Raw genomic sequence first — 19,486 nt, 5'->3', positions numbered from 1 at the left:
TTCTTTGCCTGTGATTCTCTCTTTTTTTTGCTTAGATTCCGTCCTATTTCAGTGTTCCGGGAAGCCAATGAAGATGAGAGTGGCTTCACCTGCTGTGCATTCTCAGCACGGGAGCGGTTCCTGATGCTTGGCACCTGCACAGGGCAGCTGAAGCTCTATAATGTGTTTAGTGGACAGGAGGAGGCCAGCTATAACTGTCACAACTCAGCCATCACACATCTTGAACCTTCCAGGGTAAGGGTTCCTTCCTAGGATGCTCTCAGTCATTCTTCCAAGATGAATTGGTGAACTAGAGTAAAGGAGGCTTACCCTTTATTGAGCTCTCTCTTTTAAATGAGTCCTCAACTGGAAAGTCTAGTTGAGGTTAATTCATATTTCAGATGGAGACTGAGGAATATGGCAAAGTTAGTAGGAAGAAAGGAACCATCTTTGACATCTTCTCATTTTCCCCCCTCCCTTTTATCTATTCTATTTTTGTGGCTAGTTCAGTAGGATTTAATATTCTCTTAAGTTTGGTTATTTTATAGGACACTATAGGTGTATGTATTCAAATCCTAGTGGCTTCTGACCATTTCTTGGTTTCTGGGGATTATAAAATTGTCTCTTTAATTCAACAACATTTTTATGCAAATCTTTAAAAATGCTAATGGCAGGTAGTGACATCTGCATGTATGTAAATACGTGGTTACCCACCTTGCGCCTTTTTCTTTTAGGATGGGTCCTTGCTGCTGACATCTGCTACTTGGAGCCAGCCTTTGTCTGCACTTTGGGGAATGAAGTCAGTATTTGATATGAAGTATGTATCTGCTTTTGGAACCTAGTCTGTGCTTTATTTACCTAGTTTATACCCCCCTTCATTTGGTTCTTAGACTGGAAGCCTTTTGGGGAAAGAGGATGCTGTCGGTTATTGTTAACTTCTCTCTTCCTCATCTAAGACTCATGTTTAATAAGACTTTATCTTTCTTAATTCCTAGATACTTTTATGAGGTATATACATTCTCATTATGCAGCAGACCCCGACCCAGAATCTATGTATTTTCCCATGTTCACATAGGACATTGCAGTCTTTGCTGTGTCTCCTCTCCTCTCCTCTCCCCTCCCCTCCCCCCTCACCTCCCCTCCTTTTCTCTCTCCTCTCTTCTCCTCTCCTTTCCTTTCCTTTCCTTTTTTTTTTCTTTTTTTTATTTTTTGTGAGACAGAGTCTCGTTCTGTCGCCCAGGCTGGAGTGCAGTGGCGCGATCTCAGCCTACTGCAAGCTCCGCCTCCCGGGTTCACACCGTTCTCCTGCCTTAGCCTCCCGAGCAGCTGGGACTAGAGGCGCCCGCCACCACACCTGGCTAATATTTTATATTTTTAGTAGAGACAGCGTTTCACTGTGTTAGCCAGGATGGTGTTGATCTCCTGACCTTGTGATCCGCTGGCCTTGGCCTCCCAAAGTGCTGGGATTACAGGCCTGAGCCACCGCACCTGGCCTTTTCTTTTCTTTCCTTCTTTAGACGGGGTCTCATTCTGTCACTTAGGTTGGAGTGCGGTGGCACAAACATGACCTACTGCAACCTCCACCTCCCAGGCTCAAGTGATCCTCTCATCTCAGCCTGCTGAGTAGCTGGGACCACAGGCATATGCCACCACGCCTGGCTAATTTTTTGCATTTTTGATAGAGATAGGGTTTCGACATGTTGCCCAGGGTGGTCTCGAACTCCTGAGCTTAGACAATCCACCTGCCTCAGCCTCTCAAAGTGCTGGGATTGTAGGAGTGAGCTACCATGCCTGGCCCCTTTGCTGCGTGTTTCAAAGGCACATGTGCCCTGTTTGTCATTTCTCTAAGGAATTCCCATTCATTATTTTGTATCTGCTTGGTTAAGGTGATAGAAGGAATTTTCTTTGTAATCTAAGTGTATGATTGTTTCCTCTTTGGGAGTCCAGGATCTTTAGGTGAGTGTGATTGTGCAAGAGGCTGGGGGTCACCTGTGTTTCAGTTGGTTGCAGGAATATGTCCTGAAGATCTGTCACTTCAGTGCTCCTGTTGTTTGTCCATAGGCATTCCTTCACAGAAGATCACTATGTTGAGTTCAGTAAGCACTCCCAGGATCGGGTCATCGGCACAAAAGGAGACATTGCCCACGTAAGTACTTAAGAACCACTGTTTTCAAGCTGATCATACCCATTTGTTCATACTGAAATCTTCTTGATAGAATGTGAGGACCTAAGTCCTTTGGGCAACTAGAAATCAGTGATATTCCTTCTAGTTAGAATCTAAAAGTATGATAATATAGTTCTGAGCTGTATGGGAAAAATGTATAAGGGCTAAATGTGACATTGAGAAAGATGTCATTAGCACCACAGATATTTTTGAATTCTTAGTAAGTTTTAGATTAGAAATGAAACCCCTGCCTTTATGGACCCTCATTGGGGAGACAATAAAGAAGCAAATATACGGTAAATTTAGGTGGTAAGTGTTTCAGAGAAAATGAAAGCAGGGTAAGAGGTAGGAAATGCTTGGTGGTGGTGTGGGGGACTTCTCTTTTATCTAGGGTAGACAGCATCACTGATGGGGTAATGTTTAAGCAGAGCCTTGAAGGAAACGCGAGATTCAGGAAGATACCTGGAGGAACAGCGTAAGGCACAGGAAATGGCAAGGGAAAAGCCCTTGCTTGGGAGGTGGGAGGAGAGCTGAGGTCAGTGAGGGGCCTGTATCTGGTAGCATCTTGTAGGTGGTAGTTAGGGCCTTTAGCTTTTTTTTTGAGTGAGATGAAGACACTGGTGGGTGAGTAGAGGATACATGAGTGGATGTAAAGTTCCTGAAGTGTGACTCTGGTTTTTGTGAGAGAAGCAAGAGCAGCCTTCCAGGTCAGAGGGTGTTGTACCACCTGACACATGAGAGGAGCTGTGGGTTTGGGCCTGGGTAGGCATGGTAGAGGCTATGAGAAATGGAGGACCTTGGCCCTGGGATTTTGGACACATGAAATTTGAGATTCTCTTAGACATTCAAGTAGAGAATGGGGATTGAATACAAAAGTTGGGAGCTGGCCAGACTTAGTGGCTTCTGCCTGTAATCCCAGCACTTTGGGAGGCTGAGGTGGGAGGCCAGGAGTTCGAGACCAGCCTGGGCAACATAGAGAGACTCCCCCCATCTCTACAAAAAATAAACAAAATTGGCTGAGCTTGGTGGGCTTGGGACCTATAGTCCCAGCTACTCAGGAAGCTGAGACGGGAGGGTTGCTTGAGCCCATGAGTTGGAGGCTGCTGTGAGCTATGATTATGTCACTGTACTCCAGCCTGAGTAACCAAGTGAGACCCTGTCTCTGAAAATAAAAACAACAAAAAATTGGGAGTTCAAGAGAGAGGTGTGGGTTGGGAAATATAAATATGGGACTTGTCCACATATTGACAGTATTTATTTATTTATTTATTTTTGAGACAGGGTCTTGTTCTGTCACCCAGGCTGCAGTGCAGTGGCACGATCACAGCTCACCACAGCCTTGACTGCCTGGACTCAAGCAATCCTCTTACCTCAGCCTCCTGAGTAGCTGGGACTACAGGCGAGCACCATCACACCTGGCTAATTTTTTTGTATTTTTGTAGAGACGGCATTTCCCCAACGTTGCCCAGGCTGGTCTCGAACTCCTGGGCTCAAGTGATCCACTTTTCTTGGTGTCCCAAAATGTTGGCATTGCAGGCATGAGTCACTGTCCCCAGCTGATAGTATTTACAGCCATGAACTTATATGAGATCATCAAGGGGACTAGAGAAGAGTTGTGGGTATAGAACCCTGGCATGTGTTTAGGAGTTGCCAAATGAGGAACTTGGGAAGGAAATCAAATATAATGGCCAGTAAGGCAGAATGGAACCCCGAGAAAAAGAGGTGCCTGGCCGGGTGCGGTGGCTCACGCCTGTAATCCCAGCACTTTGGGAGGCAGTATTCTGTGGTAATCATTGATCCATGTGGAGAATTTGTGTGTTAATTTTAGAAACTGCTTTGCACATTTTCTCTTTAATTTGTCAGTGGATGGATTGGTCTGATTTTTCTCTTCCCATCCCTTCTTCTCTAAAGATTTATGATATTCAGACTGGCAACAAGCTGTTGACTCTGTTTAACCCAGATCTTGCCAACAACTACAAGAGGAACTGTGCCACCTTTAATCCTACAGATGATCTTGTCTTAAATGATGGCGTCCTCTGGGATGTCCGCTCTGCACAGGCCATCCACAAGTTTGACAAGTTCAATATGAACATCAGTGGTGTTTTCCATCCAAATGGACTGGAGGTGATCATTAATACTGAGATTGTATCCTTTATACTCATGTCTTACCTTCCATTTGTTGTCTGGTTTGTGGTGCAGAAATAATTTGTTCTATCTTTATACCAATACCTGGTTAAAGTGTCCACACTGGTAATAATATGGTGCCTGTCCTTTGGTTTGAAATGTTAGTGAAATCTCCAAAGCACTGTTGCCAATGTTAGTAATTACTGACAACTTTCACTAGCATGTTTTCTATGTATTTGGTAAGAGTGACCAGTTTCCTACCTCCCAGTTCTCCAAGAATTGAATTAGCTTTTATCTGTCTTCAGAAGGATTTTACTTTTGCTCTGTAAAAAATCAGTTGCCACATAAGAGGAAAATGAAGTACTACTGTTGGGAGGAAAAGAGCTCATAAAGCATTCCTGTATATGAGGATACCCTAGGATATTTTCAGAGACATCATTCAATAATATGCATTCTACATGTATTTGTTTTACCTTGATCTCATTGACTTTTAAAGTATCAATACCTGGCAGGAGGAAAAAAAGTGATATTTTAGAATTTCCTCCCATGAGATTAGATAAGTTTTGTGTAAAATAGTTTTCCTTGACCATTCCCCTCCTAGTGGGACCTTCGAACTTTTCATCTTTTGCATACTGTTCCCGCTCTGGATCAGTGTCGCGTGGTGTTCAATCACACGGGAACAGTGATGTATGGAGGTAATAAACCTTATCCTTCATTATTCTCTTTCCTTTTGCTCTACCCCTTCACTTAATTTGATACTTCTTTTTGGAACCATCTCTCACTTGTGAATTGGAAAGCATTTGAGAGTTGTAACATAAAAGATAAAAAATTGATAGTATGAATGGTGACAAAAGATATGAAAATAATGTTGGTTTAGGGTGAAAGGCAGCTTACTTTGAAGATAACAAGGAAATCTTGTATGGAAAGAAATTTCATGCAGTATTTTCCAGTGTATCATTATGAACTTAAGAGCTTTTGCATTTGTCCTCTTGTGTTGTTATAAGCCTTGTAAGTACAGTAACACTTCTTGGAGGTAGATGAGAGGCTGAGGATATTATTTGTCACAATAGGTGGGATATGCAAGGAAGATGCTCTGAGAGGAGCTAACTAGATGCAGAGTAGATTTCTGTACAAGGGAATTTGTATGTAAACCTATATGCAAGTAGATTGTTTTGATTGGCCATTAACATTTTCTGCACTTGTGAAGAGGGGATGTTTGTGATTCCTAATAGTGTTTCCTCCCCCACTCCCCCTCAAGCTATGTTGCAGGCAGATGATGAAGATGACTTAATGGAAGAGAGGATGAAAAGCCCCTTTGGGTCATCCTTCCGAACATTTAATGCAACTGACTACAAACCTATAGGTAAGCAGAAAGGGACAGACATTGAACATTTTGTCGTGTTTTGGTGTTCCTTATTTAAGATCCTTCATTTTCTGGAGGCCTGTAATTTTTTATTGAAAAACAGAGAAGTTATGGAAATACTTTTGAGCAATCATCCTGAATTCCTTTAGAGGAAAAGCAGGTTTTAGGGTCACAGCAATAGTCCAATCCCAATCTTCTCACATTCTATTTTCCAGCAACCATTGATGTGAAACGGAACATCTTTGACCTGTGTACAGACACCAAAGACTGCTATCTTGCTGTCATTGAGGTAAAGGGAGCTTGCAGAGGCCCTGCTCTTTTGTTCTGATGTTTAGGATAATTTTCAAGTTGTACTACAGACATTTTGTCTGATATAAGATGTAAAGTCAATACATTCCTGAAGGTAGATTATTGATAACCTATTCATTTGATGGGGCTTGGGAGATGTACAGTACAAAGAGAAATAGTAAGAAAATCCCAATATAAGACAGCTTAGAGGATCCTGTCTCCTTTTTTTCTGGACTCACACTGTCATCCCTTTCTCAGAGGAATCTGGATCTCTCACCAGAGCAAGACTGGTTTGTTCCAAGGGTGATGGTTCCTCACCAAGTCTTTTCATTCTGTTTTTCTTCCCCTTTATGTGTCCTAGGTATAACATTTTCATAGTCAGCTCAAGAATTTCGGGTATCAGAAGCTTTAATAATTACAGGGTCAAGGTCATGGGCACCAGTCAGGGCTGAGGCGTGGATGTGGACCTTCTGAAAAGTAACTGCTCCTTATGGACTGGATGTTCTATTTCAGAATCAAGGCAGCATGGATGCCCTGAACATGGACACAGTATGCAGGCTGTATGAAGTGGGCAGGCAGCGTCTGGCAGAGGATGAGGATGAAGAGGAGGACCAGGTCAGTGGTCTTTGAGATTTCTTTCTGCTGAACAGTGCTTAATAGAGGTTATGCTCTGCTTTTTGCTGTAGGAGGTTTTAAAGGTCTACTCAACCTTTGCTACCTGTTGCCACATTCATAAGGCTTGTCATGTACCCTTGATCACTGAAACTCAGAAGAAATTTTATTATAAGATTTTAACCAGTACCTGATGATCCCGTGAATTCCATTTGCAGAGCAATTTAAAGCTTAGCAATCTCTGCTTTTTTTTTTTTTTTTTTTTTTTTTTTAGAATGGAGTTTTGCTCTTGTCGCCGAGGCTGGAAATGTCATGATCTCGGCTCACTGCAGTCTCTGCCTCCTGGGTTCAAGTGATTCTCCTGCCTCAGCCTCCCAAGTAGCTGGGATTACAGGTGCCCACCACCACGCCTGGCTATTTTTTGTGTATTTTTAGTAGAGACGGGGTTTCACCGTGTTGGCCAGGCTGGTCTCGAACCTCCTGACCTCAGATGATCTGCCCACGTCGGCCTCTCAGAGTGCGTGGAGTATAAGCATGAGCCACCGCACTCATCCTGGCAATCTCTGATTTTCATTCAGAGATTTCTTTGTGCCCCGTTCTGGCTTCAGATAAGCATCTCCCAATGTCAATAAAAAACAGAACAATCACTTTGCTGAGATGGACTGTAGAAATGGCTTAACCTTTATAAAGTTCTGGTTTATATTTTCTCAGTTTTATGGCATAGTCTATTATTAGGGTAAGAGTTGAACTTATAGGTAAGATAAGATTTTGATACTTTTGAGAAATTAAACATATATAAAATGTGGGTAGATAGTATCATGTCCCTCAGTCTTTGCATTTTGCTTTCATAGGGAATTTTAATTTGTGGTTGTATTACGCTAGGTGCTTGCCTGTGTGGTGTGTCAGTATGGGTTCTGAAGAGTTTCTCAAACTTCTGAGTTTCAGCAGATTTTTTCCAGCCTACAGGGCTCACAGCACATTCTCTTTCCAAGAGTACATTCTCCAGGGCAGATTCTTTTGTCTAATTTTCTGAGAAATATTTATTGCTGAGTGAGTACTGTAAAGTTGAAAATGAATGACTAGGATTTGACTTTGCTCTTCAGATATTAAAGCAGCTAAAAATGTTTTCTTCCCCAGTTCTTGGGTTCATTTCTGTTTCCCCCTACTATCGTATTCTTTAGTCTTGGTGCTTTGTCTCTCTTTTTTTTTTTTTTTTTTCTGAGATGGAGTTCTGCTCTTGTCACCCAGGCTGGAGTGTAATGGCACGATCTCGGCTCACTGCAACCTCCACCTCTGGGGTTCAAGCAATTCTCCTGCCTCAGCCTCCTGAGTAGCTGGGATTACAGGCACATGTCACTATGCCCAGCTAATTTTTGTATTTTTTTTAGTAGAGATGGGGTTTCACAATGTTGGCCAGGCTGGTCTGGAACTCCTGACCTCAGGTGATCCACCCGCCTCAGCCTCCCAAAGTGCTGGGATTACAGGCATGAGCCACCACGCCCAGCCAGCTTTGTCTCCTCTTTAAGGGCACAGAGGTGCTCTGGATGAGAAGCAGTGGCATCACAGGACCGGGGAAAGTACACTTCCCTCAGTTTGCATTGCCACAGCTCTCTTGCCCTCATCCTTCCCTACTTTTTGATAAATCATGCTCAATGGTTAGGGCTAATGTAATAGCTTTCTCTTAGCGTCCTTTCAAAACAGCTTGTACTTACATTTAAAATAATTCTTTAAAAGCAAGAATTTTTGAAAATGGTAATATTTGAAAATGGTAATTTTGTAAGGATGTAAGTCTAATACTAGGGCAAAGGACCCATGTTTTTCTCTAATGGGACTTAGTACTGACTAAGCAAGAGTGTTTTGTTGAGATTTAGCTATGTGTTTTACTGTTGGCCATTACAGGATATGAGCATATCATTTGTTCTGTAAATCAAATCCTTTGAATACTGCATCACCTGTACATCAAAGATGACACAGTATACCTGGATCAGATACACCTGGGTAAAAAAGCTAGAACAGAGACTCAACCTAAAATCCCCTGTGTGTGCTCTCTTGGTCTTCACTGTTTTGACTGTCTAAGCATGCATTTTATTAGAGGCCCGAGATGATTCGTGATCTGCAGAAATGGGCTTCTGAGCAGAGTGAGGAGACTCTTGTGTGGTGGGCAGCTGGTGGCCATGGTGGGATCAGAGCAGAGCCTTCCTCAGGGCCTGGTAAAGGATAATTAGGCTGTAGAGTTTGAAACAACTTCACCAAATGCTGCCAAGGATCTGCTAGTGTAGAAAGGCTTTCCTTTACTGCTTTCCAGCTATATGGGCTCTATAGGGGCCTTGGTTTCATGGGTGAGAGGAGCCAGCAGTGTCTAAAGCTCATGTGAGTTATGAGATATGGGTAGAAGGGAGAGGTTTTCCAGTGGATACTTGAAATCTTTGATTTATTTGTGACATGGATTTTAGTGTTTTCTTGAGTGCTGTGCTGTTACAGCTTGTACATGTTTCTAGTCTTTCTGGGTAGCAGAGCTTGGTATTAGGTCCTCCAAATTTCATGTGGTTGCCTTGAGTGGGTTTCTTAATACTGCCTGTTCTTTTATTCTCACTTCAGTTTGCTACCTTAGACACCTCACTCCCTTAATGCCTACTTTTTCACATTAGCTATCATGAAACAAGATGTAGTTTATTCTTGAGTCCATACAGAGGGTGCAGTTGTCAGGCCATTTGCGCGTACATTACAATGGTATGGGTGGCTGTCGACTGCTTTGTCCTCCGTGGGTTTATTCATCACTACCAAGTATCAGTTCTGAATCAGGCTTCTTGGATGTTACATGTTGAAGCATAAATCTGAGGCCAAAACTGGATTGTTTGTCAACATCATTATCCCAGCCCTCCCATATCCGTGCATTTAATAAGGCAGTGGGCGGCAGTCTTCTCTGGGAACCATCACCTGGGTCCATGTGATGCCTGGTGTCTGTCTTTGAGGGGGAGGTCAACTCAGAGGAAAGTTGAGATTGCCCTAGACACCTTGGGAGTTGGAAGGCTATTCTCTGGGTTCGCCTTATTCTTGCAGACATGGAGTGGTGAGAGGCAAAGGCACTGGAGGTTGGTGGCTGGCTGTGGAAGCGAGAGGCCACCATAAGGGAATAATTTAAGAGTTATACTCCTCTTATCCCACTCTCTCCAGGAAGGCTTGGGTCAGGGAAAAGACTGACTAATTCTTCTTCTTTTGTCCTGCTTAACTTCTGAGAAGTTAAGGGAGAAAGAGATTAGGAAGGGCATATGGTAGTGGTCAGGACTTTTGACTTGGATGCAGGAAGGAAAGCAAGAGGCTGCCTCAGCGTGACAGCCAAGAGTGAGAGGGGCAGGGTCAAGAGGGCTCTAAGGAGTGGCTCTGGAGCCCAGCCTGTAGAAGAGCCGGAAAGCTTTCTAGCTCAGAGAAGACTAGGTGGCAGGGTAGGTGTGCAACATGGCTAAGTTATTACTGTGGCTTCCAGATTTCTTAGGATCTAGGCATGTTTCACTCCATACTGATATTACAGCTTTTATTGATCATCTGGTGCATTTCATGTTTGAAGGACCTCTGTTAGAGAACTGCTTATCCCCTCAAGCCCTTGGCATTTTGATTTTTGATTTAGAGATGTTTGATTTAGAGATACGGGATAATACCGTATCTATTTGAGTAGGTCTCTTTTGTAACCTTAATTCTGTTGATCCATGCTCCTTCTAGAATCTTGTGGTGGAGTTTGGCTGTTTTTACTATCTCCATCAGATTTCTGCCTACTGCCTCTCATGCACAGTGTGCCAGCTTGAATTTTTTTTAAACTCACTTTCCTTTGTAGGAAAACCAGTCTCTAGTTTTACTTTGCTTTGTACGCTTCACCTGATTTTAAAACTAGAGACTTTTCATTTTCCTATGAATCATTTGCTATTCAAAGTTTTGTCCTAGTCTAGATATCTGTTCTCAGGTCTTCTCAGATGTTCCAGATATGACTTATGTGGCTCAGGGATACAGGCACCTGTGACCAACACCTTTGAATTTGCCTTTTCATTATAGCAAAATAAATTCAGAAGCCTGAATGGTCAGCCGTCATCTAATAAAATGGTCCAGCATAAAGAGCTTTATCGAGATATAATTGACATGCCATAAAATATTTGTCCTTTGTCCTTATGCTTAAATAAGCTTGGAGATTAAGAGGAAAGGATGAAAGGTACAGCTAGCTGTATCTAGATGAATGAAAACCTAAACAATGTATTGGACACCCATAAATATTTGGTTCCTGAGGCTGCTAGTCTGCCTGCCTTCAGGCATTTGATGAAAGCAGAGATAAGCTAGTCACCTATCACAGCTCATTATTATCCATTAGAAGTTTGGTATCTGGTTGTTTTTTTTTTTTTTTTTTTTTTTTTGAGATGGAGTCTCGCCCTGTCACCCAGGCTGGAGCGCAGTGTTGCGATCTTGGCTCACTGCAACCTCCACCTCCCAGGTTCAGGCAAATCTGCCTCAGCCTCCCTGAGTAGCTGGGATTGTAGGCGCCTGCCACCACAACCGGCCAATTCTGTATTTTTAGTAGAGATGGGGTTTCACCATGTTAGCCAGGCTGATCTCGAACTCCTGACCTCAGGTGATCCGCCCACCTCGGCCTCCCAAAGTGCTGGGATTATAGGCATGAGCCACCGCGCCCAACCTGGTGCCTGTGTTTTTAGAAATCAGTTCATTCATCTTTGATTTGACTTTTAGAAAAGTTACAAAACCCAAGATAAGTAATTGATCATTGCTCCTAGATTTTGACAAGCCAATACATTTTAGCTAATTATACTTAACCTTAAATTTATAATAAAAAACTCAACAAAGGAATAATGCTCTCTGTTTTCCACTCCATTTTGGAGTCTGGGACACACTGTGTGCTGTGCTTCCTGTGTGTTCTCCACTGCCTAGAAGCGGATGTTAAGAGTCTTTACTGATTACACACACCTGGTCAGAGCTGAATGTGTTGATTCCTGAAAGGCCTCATTTTCTTAAAGAATTGAAATGTAACTTGAGTTAGATTCTGCCATTGAGGAAAGAAAAACAAACATTTATGACCCTAAAGTGAACCTATAGCCTTTAAGGACAGAAAAAGTATTTTTTAAAAAGTAGGCATTTATACATTTAGCAAAATATGACATGTTACATAAAGGTCAGGATCAGATTTGAATGACGGTTTTGTTGTTGTTTTTTTTTTTTTTTTTTTTTGAGATGGAGTCTCACTCTGTCTCGCCCAGGCTTCCGCCTCCTAGGTTCAAGCAATTCTTCTGTCTCAGCCTCCCAAGTAGCTGGGACTAAAGGCATGTGCCACCACACCCGACTAATTTTGTATTTTAGTAGAGACGAGGTTTCACCCTGTTGCCCAGGCTGGTCTCGAACTCCTGACCTCAGGTGATCCACCCGCCTTGGCCTCCCAAAGTGCTGGGATTACAGGTGTGAGCCACTGCGCCCAGCCAAAGTGTAGGTAAAAGGCATCTGAAGCCTATGTAGATGGAGAGCTTATTAGGTTTGGGAGAACTGAACCTCTTGGCATAGAAAGTGAGAAGCCAGTGTGAAGGTGGTGGTGAGGTGGGGATGAGAAAAGTGTCTGTGGTAACAGGGTCTCAGGGTTGGTTGAGATCCAGAGCAGGAGTGGGTAGCATGCTTCCTCCTCAGACCAGGGCTGAAGCCAGGTTTAGATGTAGAGGGGACCAGAGAGCAGCGGAGGGAGCTTATGCCAGTTGACCTATTTTCTGTAAAGGAAAGGGGTGAGTTGTTTATCTGCAGGGTTTGGGGGCTTTGGGTAACCATGAAATTGATGTAGGTGGAATTAAGGAGAGAAGAGTTTTAGAATTCTTTCTGTAGAGAAATTTATTAGTACCTTAATTTAAAATGGCCTGGCCCTGAATTCCTCTAAGCCCTAAAAGAAGTCTTAGAGAATTAAAAAAAAAAACAATATCCCTGGATCCAAAACATTTTCTAAATGTTGTCAGAGTTGAGTCAGGATTCTAGAAAAATTTGGTTTTTTTTTTTTTTTTTTTTTTTGAGACAGAGTCTTGCTCTGTTGTCCAGGTTGGAGTGCAGTGGCGCGATCTCGGCTCACTGCAAGCTCCGCCTCCTGGGTTCATGCCATTCTCCTGCCTCAGCCTCCAGAGTAGCTGGGACTACAGGTGCCCATCACCACACCCAGCAAATTTTTTGTATTTTTAATAGAGACGGGGTTTCACTGTGTTAGCCGGGATGGTCTTGATCTCCTTACCTCGTGATCTGCCCGCCTCAGCCTCCCAAAGTGTTGGGATTACAGGTGTGAGCCACCACGCCCGGCCTGTTTTTGTTTTTGTTTTTGTTTTCAAAGAAATGGGATCTCACTCTGTTGCCCAGGCTGGAGTGCAGTGGCACAATCGTAGTTCAATGTAGCCTTGAATTCCTGGGTTCAAGTGATCCTCCTGCCTCAGCTTCCTGAGTAGCTGGGACTACAGGTGTGTGCCGTTGTGCCCAGCTAAGCTTTGCTTTTTCATTAAATAATTATTTTTAGTTTTTACTTTTTGGACCACTCATTATTGGAAGCTTTATTCTTTAGATCTGAAGGAGAGGGGTTCATGCCACCAGTTACTTGACCAGCAGAGAATGCACCTAAAATTGCTTCCTAGAATCTCTTTTGGGTTCTGCCACAGCATTTTGGATGAGTCTTGTGAGCCTCTGCTTCATGATCCCAGTTTCAGATTTAAAATTTGGAAAGTGAGTTTATGGCTATGTCCATGTGTGACAAAATGCATGGTGAGAAATCAGCATTGGGCATTAAATACAAAGTAGAGACGACAAAGTGAGGTGCTCAACTTGAGATTCAGGTAGATCTCTTTCCTACTAATTTCCCCTCCTCTCTCTCATGGTCACATATGTGTTTGTGGCCTTCTGGGATGAATATATATACATCTGTTTCTTCTGCTATAAAATTAAGTAAAATTTGGGTTTGTCTGCTGCTGGAAGAGTTTGGAATGGTATCTAGTTCAAAGCTTAGACCCTGCTTGAAAATATTCCAGGATTGCTCTTGATATGGAAGCTTTTTGTTCAGTTCTTCTAGATCAGCTAAGCCTCAATGTTCTTCAAAATGAAAGAGAATTGTCTTCATGAATTTTCTGGCTAGCCCATGCCTATTTGAGCAGTTTAACCTTTCATGTACACACTCAACCGTGGACCTTTAGTTGTGCTATCTTAAATTTTAAATATAAGTGTTCTGTCCACGAAGCCTTAAGACACAGGGCCCTGGGTACTTTCTTCCTTACTTATTTTTAACTGTGGCACTTTGTTAGTGGATTAGCTAATTTTGGTCAAGTCTATGAAAATACGCCTGGAAAAAGAGGCAAAAGTTGTAATCTGGTAAGCACTTGGATGATATCCCCTGAATTTTGACCCCGCTCTCCTTTCCCAGTTATTTGTATGAGCTTATGTGCTTGTAGGGGCTGAGAGCCTGTCTGTGTTTCAGTTTATCATTGTTGACTCCAGACACTCATAGTTCCTTTGAGGCGGGTGAATGCTTAGTAGTTATTTATCCACTCACCTCTGGAGGGGATGTGTGGCCAAGGCTTTGGAATAGTCTCAGGCCTTCTATGTGTGTGTGTGTTGGCACATACACAAATGCTCCCACCGAATCTGGTACAGACCATACACGCACTTGCACAAGTATTAGGAGTACTAGGTATTTAAAAGGGGCTCAGTTTTTCCAACATAACTGGCAGAAATTTTGAAGAGTCTAAATTACTGAATTACACAGTTTATCAAAAAGTCACTAATGGTGGTTCCAAAATTACCAGAAGTCCACAAAGCGGAGCTACCCTGCTGAATGATCCTAGCTTATGTTACACACTGGTTTCTAGTGGCTGGGTAAGCACAAAATGCTTGTTTTTTAAGTGCTTGGCAGGCAATAACACCTTCAAAATGAAAAAAGATGTAACCACTGAGTATAAGTTTTAAAATAATAAGAACAAAAAAAATTTTTTTGTGCTTACGTTGGGCTTATTCCATCTTGAATTTCATTAGGTTGATGTATTAAATGAATTTTACATTTTATTATTGTAACAATTAGAATCCTTTGCTATTGGCAAGGCTGACAGTTGATGTTTGAGCAGAAAGATAAGTGTCTTGAGTGGCAGCTACGTTTACTTGGAAATGCCTCTTATCCCTGTCAAAGCAAAGAGGTATCTTTGTGTCCTCTCCCTTTTGAAGGGAAACAGTTGGGATTCTAATGCAAACCTGAAATCTGTGGCAGATGCCAGAATGTACCATTTACAAAGCCCAGAGTCCCTAGAACAAAGTATTTCATTGATGTTCTGGTAATTTTCTTGCCTTTGCAAGTTCTTGTAAGAATGGAAAGAAAGATAGTTTCTCCAGCATACTTTTTTTTCTTTTTGGCTTATGACAGGAAATATGGGTTTCTGTTAGTGTTCTATATTTTAAGTCTTTTGTTGCAATGTTGTTCTGATCAAATGTTTGTGATAGCATAGTTAGGAGCTTATCCACATTCTTGGTTAGAAGATCAAGGGCAAGAGCTTGAAGGGCTGAGGAGATAATGAGCAGTTGTGTTCTTCCATTTTGTTAAAGCATTGCATTTTAGATTCCAGGTAAAAGGATTTTTTCTAGTGTCTCAGCTGATTTCACTTGCTTTGGTTGATGCAGGTGAGAAAGAAGAGTCCCCTTGGGCTCCTAGAATATTGAAGGCAGAGACTTCTGTGAAGCGAGTTGTCTGTTTCCTTGCATAAGGGCTATGTGACCATTAATCCTTGTCTGAGGGGTGCTTTGACCGTCTTGAGGGACATGTGTGCCTATCTCAGCCATCACTGACAAGTCTGGCTGGCTCATGAAGTCTGTGCTCGTCTAGATCACTACTACCCTCTACTGACAGTTTCCTACCCTGTCTCTTTGGTCGACCCGCCATGTGGCCCCCATGGGTCAGGCCTCTGTGTTTGTACTAATGAACATTACGCTTTCTTACCAGGAAGAGGAAGAACAGGAGGAAGAAGATGATGATGAAGATGATGATGACACCGATGATTTAGATGAGCTTGACACTGACCAGTTGCTGGAGGCGGAGTTGGAGGAGGACGACAATAATGAGAACGCAGGGGAAGATGGGGACAATGACTTCTCTCCCTCTGATGAGGAGCTAGCAAACCTTCTAGAGGAGGGAGAGGACGGGGAGGATGAAGACTCTGATGCAGATGAGGAGGTGGAACTGATCCTGGGGGACAGTAAGTATAGGGCAGAGTTCAGGCTGAGCCTTGGCACCCAGGGCAAGATCCCTTCTTTTGTGCCCATACAACTTAGAGGGCAAGCCATACCACGGTTCTGTGCCCCATAATTTGATTCACTACTCTGGTCTCTTGAGGCAAAGCACCTTTGCATCTCTGCCCTCCTCTCCTGTCAGACTGTGGAACCCAACCAAATGGCTGTCATTTCTTATCTTTCAAGTAGAGATTGGCAGACTTTTTCTGTAAGATCAGACAGTAAATATTTTATGCAGCCGGGCACGGTGGCTCACGCCTGTAATCCCAGCACTTTGGAGGCTGAGGCGGGTGGATCACCTGAGGTCAGGAGTTCGAGACCAGCCTGGGCAACATGATGAAATCCTGTCTCTACTAAAAATACAAAATTAGCTGGGCGTGGTGGCACATGCCTATAATCCCAGCTACTTGGGAGGCTGAGGCAGGAGAATCGCTTGAACCTGGGAGGCGGAGGTTGCAGTGAGCCGAGATCGTGCCACTGCACTCCAGGCTGGGATAATAGAGTGAGACTCCATCTCAAAAAAAAAAAAAAAAAAAAAAAAATGCTTTGTAGGGTATATGGCCTTTGTTGCAGCTCTTCAACTCTGCTGTTGTAGTGAGAAAGCAGTCATAGACAATCCGTAAATGAATGATTGTGGCTGTGTTCTAATAAAACTTTGTTTTGCAAAAATAGGTGGTGGGCTTGTAGTTTGTCAACTCCTGCTTCAGAGGATTAGCCTTAGAATGAAAGGCCAAAGTGTAGCTCTCCGCCGAGAGGCATGGCTAGAATCAGTCAGAAGCAGCCCCTCATGGGGTGCTGTTCTTTTTGGGGTGAATTATAAAGAAATGCAGGCCCTCTTGTGGAGGAGCCCTTTCCTGTCTCCCTTTGGCTAATCCCTCCTAACAGCCAAGGGGAAAATATTTTCCCTTTGGCTTCTGGTTTATTCACTTCCTTTTATTTACCTTTTTTTCTTAATCCAAATTTTGAGGAACAAACTCCAGTTCTTCTAGTTATTTCCCATTAGGTTTCTGAAGTCAAGTTGTCCCCTGACTATGGTAATGAATCCTGCAGAAATCAGCAAATAGTTCAAAGAGGCTGTTAGCTCTGCAGCTGTACATGAATCTTCTTACCAAGGCTGTATTTTGAGGAAGCTTGAGGGTGGGAGGGTAGGGGAGTGTCTTCTATATGTTCATCTGCTGTTCATCAACTTCTGTTTTTTCATACTTGGAGGCTGAGGTGATTCAGTGGAGTAGGCCGAAGCCTGGTCAGACAAAGTTTTAATGAACGTTTTTGTCACGTGTGAATAGTGAGACATGGGAAACAAGTTATACCTCCTTTCAATTACAAGTAGTTAGCAGGGCAGGTTCGCAGGGTCAGCAAACAGCAGGCCAGCTGATGGTGGTGCTCCCAAAATAAGAGAGCATCACTTTAATTTTTCCATTCTTAATTTGAATATAAAGCCACTCAGTTTGTATTTGGCCTGTACAATTACTGCCTCTTTTAGCTGTTGAGGAAATTCCTTCTTTCAAGCCAAAGGTAATCTGGAAAACTTTAACTCTATCAGTTGTGAGAATGTTGTTACTTTATGAGAATATTTACGATGTGAAAATAATGGATCACAACTTGAGGACGTCTCAGAGTGGACTTCAGAATTGAGGTGGAGATGCAGAGGTGGCATCTGGAGCACACTCCATGGCTCTTTCTGTGTTTCATAGAAGAGCCAGCTGCTGTCAGCAAGGAGAGCATTCTTAGCACCCATGGTTTTGCCTAACACTAATCCTTTAGAGCAGTAGCTCTGAACCTTACTGGGCTTATGAAGAGCCCTTTTAGGATAGGGTGAAAGCCATAGAAACTATAGAAAACCACACCCATGCGCCCCCACGTACCTTTACGTAGGCCCTGGAGTCTGCAGGGACTCCCTGATTGCAGATGCAGAGCCCTGGCCCTAGGAAGAGAAACAGCTTGATTCTGAGATCTTTTTTTTTTTTTTTTTTTTTTGAGATGGAGTCTCACTCTGTTGCCCAGGCTGGAGTGCAGTGGCGCAGTCTTGGCTCACTGCAAGCTCCGCCTCCCGGGTTCATGCCATTCTCTTGCCTCAGCCTCCTGAGTAGCTGGGACTACAGGCGCCCGCCACCACCCCCAGCTAATTTTTTGTATTTTTAGTAGAGACAGGGTTTCACCGTGTTAGCCAGGATGGTCTTGATCTCCTGACGTCGTGATCCGCCTGCTTTGGCCTCCCAAAGTGCTGGGATACAGGCATCAGCCACTGCACCCGGCCTGATTCTGAGATCTTTATGTGTCTCTGCTTGTCAGCCCTGCCTCCAGAACCTGTATGTTGTAGAGCGATAGGTTAAACACTACAGGGATTAATTATACCTAGATTGTCTGCCTTAGCGACCTTTCAGAATGGGAGGTCCTAACCAGGGTTTGGGATTGGGTCACTTCAACACTTGGAGAATGGGGAAAGGATAAGGAAGGTGGGGAAAGGATAAGGAAGGTAGAGAAAGGCGTCCTATGGTCTGACCACCAGAGGGGAGTTGGTGCCCAAGCCCTGGAGGTTTTCTCTCAGACCTTGAGCCTGACAGTTACTTGCTTAAAGAAGATTGTGCTGTGACCTCGTTAAGCTGCATTTACAGTTCTTAGATGTGCTACAGCGTGGTTAAGATTCTTAGTTCTTAAGAGCTGCATAGCTGCTGGGCAGAAGGGTCTCAGGCCGGTGGGTCTGGCATTGTTGGCTTGTGGAGAGCATGAGTCCTGGGGGATGCTGTGGATGCTGCCGCAGGGACCAGGCAAGTTTGTGGTATGGGGTGGGGACACAGTGCTGGACTTGGCTCTGGGGAGGAGGCCCCACACCCTCCTGTGACACTTCCTCCTGGAGCTCTTACAGCAGAGGAGCTGAGGCTTGCTTTGTTCAGCTGTGTTAGATAATAGTTCTTTGCCATCTCCATCTTGTTTTCCTACTCTTCACCAATACATCACCAATACAGTCAGGCCACTCTTGTGCCCACTTAGACCCAGGAACACTGGTTTTGTCAGCCATTTCTTTTGCTTACTTCCAGACTTTTTTGTATCATTGCCATGCTTTTCTTGGTTTTCCTTTGTCCACTTCAGTTTTCCTCCTAAAGGAAGTTGTGTTTGGGGATAATGAATGAAGGAAGGTTTGGGAACATGATTGCTCTCTGTTTGTCCAAGAGTTGATTCTCTTAGGCACTGGAAAAAGGCTGATGAGGGATTCTTTGCATCTAGTGGCTGCCCCTTACCACATGGGGCATTTGCAGGGCTCCAGCTCAGGGTTTGTCTGTTTTACGGGCTCAGGGTTTGTCTGTTTTATGGGGGACCTAGGTAAAATGGTTTCATAGCCTCCTGAGCTACGAGTAATCAAATTGGGCACTGAGAACTTTCCTTTTCTTTGACTCAGCGAATATTAGAGTCCCTACAAGCTAGGTACCCTGTTTCTTTCTGATTTTGATCAGCCAGACATGGTGTATCTACCTCATCTTGAGGGTCCTTTTTGCTACCACTTAAGTTTCACCCCTTAACAGATCCTTCCAGAAGTGTTAATGTGTCCGTGTGCTGCCAGAGAAGGCAGATTGTCAAGCAGAGAGGGTCCTCATCAGAGACAGTGCTGTCTTCCAGGGCGTCACACTGCTCCCGCTGGCCTCCTGCCTCTGGATGGGTAGCTACTTCTCTTGTATTGCTGCAAA

The 19,486-nt window shown here is 43.6% G+C and overlaps 1 protein-coding gene across 43 annotated transcripts in view; it reads left to right on the top strand.

Annotated features, from left to right (window-relative positions):
- Window positions 1-19,486, top strand: part of DCAF1 (DDB1 and CUL4 associated factor 1) — a 109,773-nt gene that overhangs the window by 86,728 nt on the left and 3,559 nt on the right. For 36 of the 43 annotated variants that reach the window (NR_146065.2, XR_007095774.1, XR_007095775.1 and 33 more), the window contains 9 exons: window positions 36-234; window positions 714-796; window positions 2,041-2,125; window positions 4,055-4,288; window positions 4,869-4,962; window positions 5,526-5,630; window positions 5,846-5,919; window positions 6,432-6,533; window positions 15,517-15,769. Coding sequence is in view for 33 of the 43 variants with exons in the window: in NM_001171904.2 (NP_001165375.1) it covers window positions 36-234; window positions 714-796; window positions 2,041-2,125; window positions 4,055-4,288; window positions 4,869-4,962; window positions 5,526-5,630; window positions 5,846-5,919; window positions 6,432-6,533; window positions 15,517-15,769 (1,229 nt within the window). In the remaining 10 variants the exon portion in view is untranslated. The remainder of the gene's footprint in view (window positions 1-35; window positions 235-713; window positions 797-2,040; window positions 2,126-4,054; window positions 4,289-4,868; window positions 4,963-5,525; window positions 5,631-5,845; window positions 5,920-6,431; window positions 6,534-15,516; window positions 15,770-19,486) is intronic. The other 7 variants (XR_007095776.1, XR_007095777.1, XM_047449275.1 and 4 more) reach the window with 1 other exon arrangement.

The sequence above is a fragment of the Homo sapiens genome, chromosome 3 (assembly GCF_000001405.40).
Source record: "Homo sapiens chromosome 3, GRCh38.p14 Primary Assembly".
Lineage (NCBI taxonomy): Eukaryota > Metazoa > Chordata > Mammalia > Primates > Hominidae > Homo > Homo sapiens.
The sequence above is the reverse complement of the archived record's forward strand: the minus strand, read 5'-3'. Positions and strand labels throughout refer to the sequence as shown.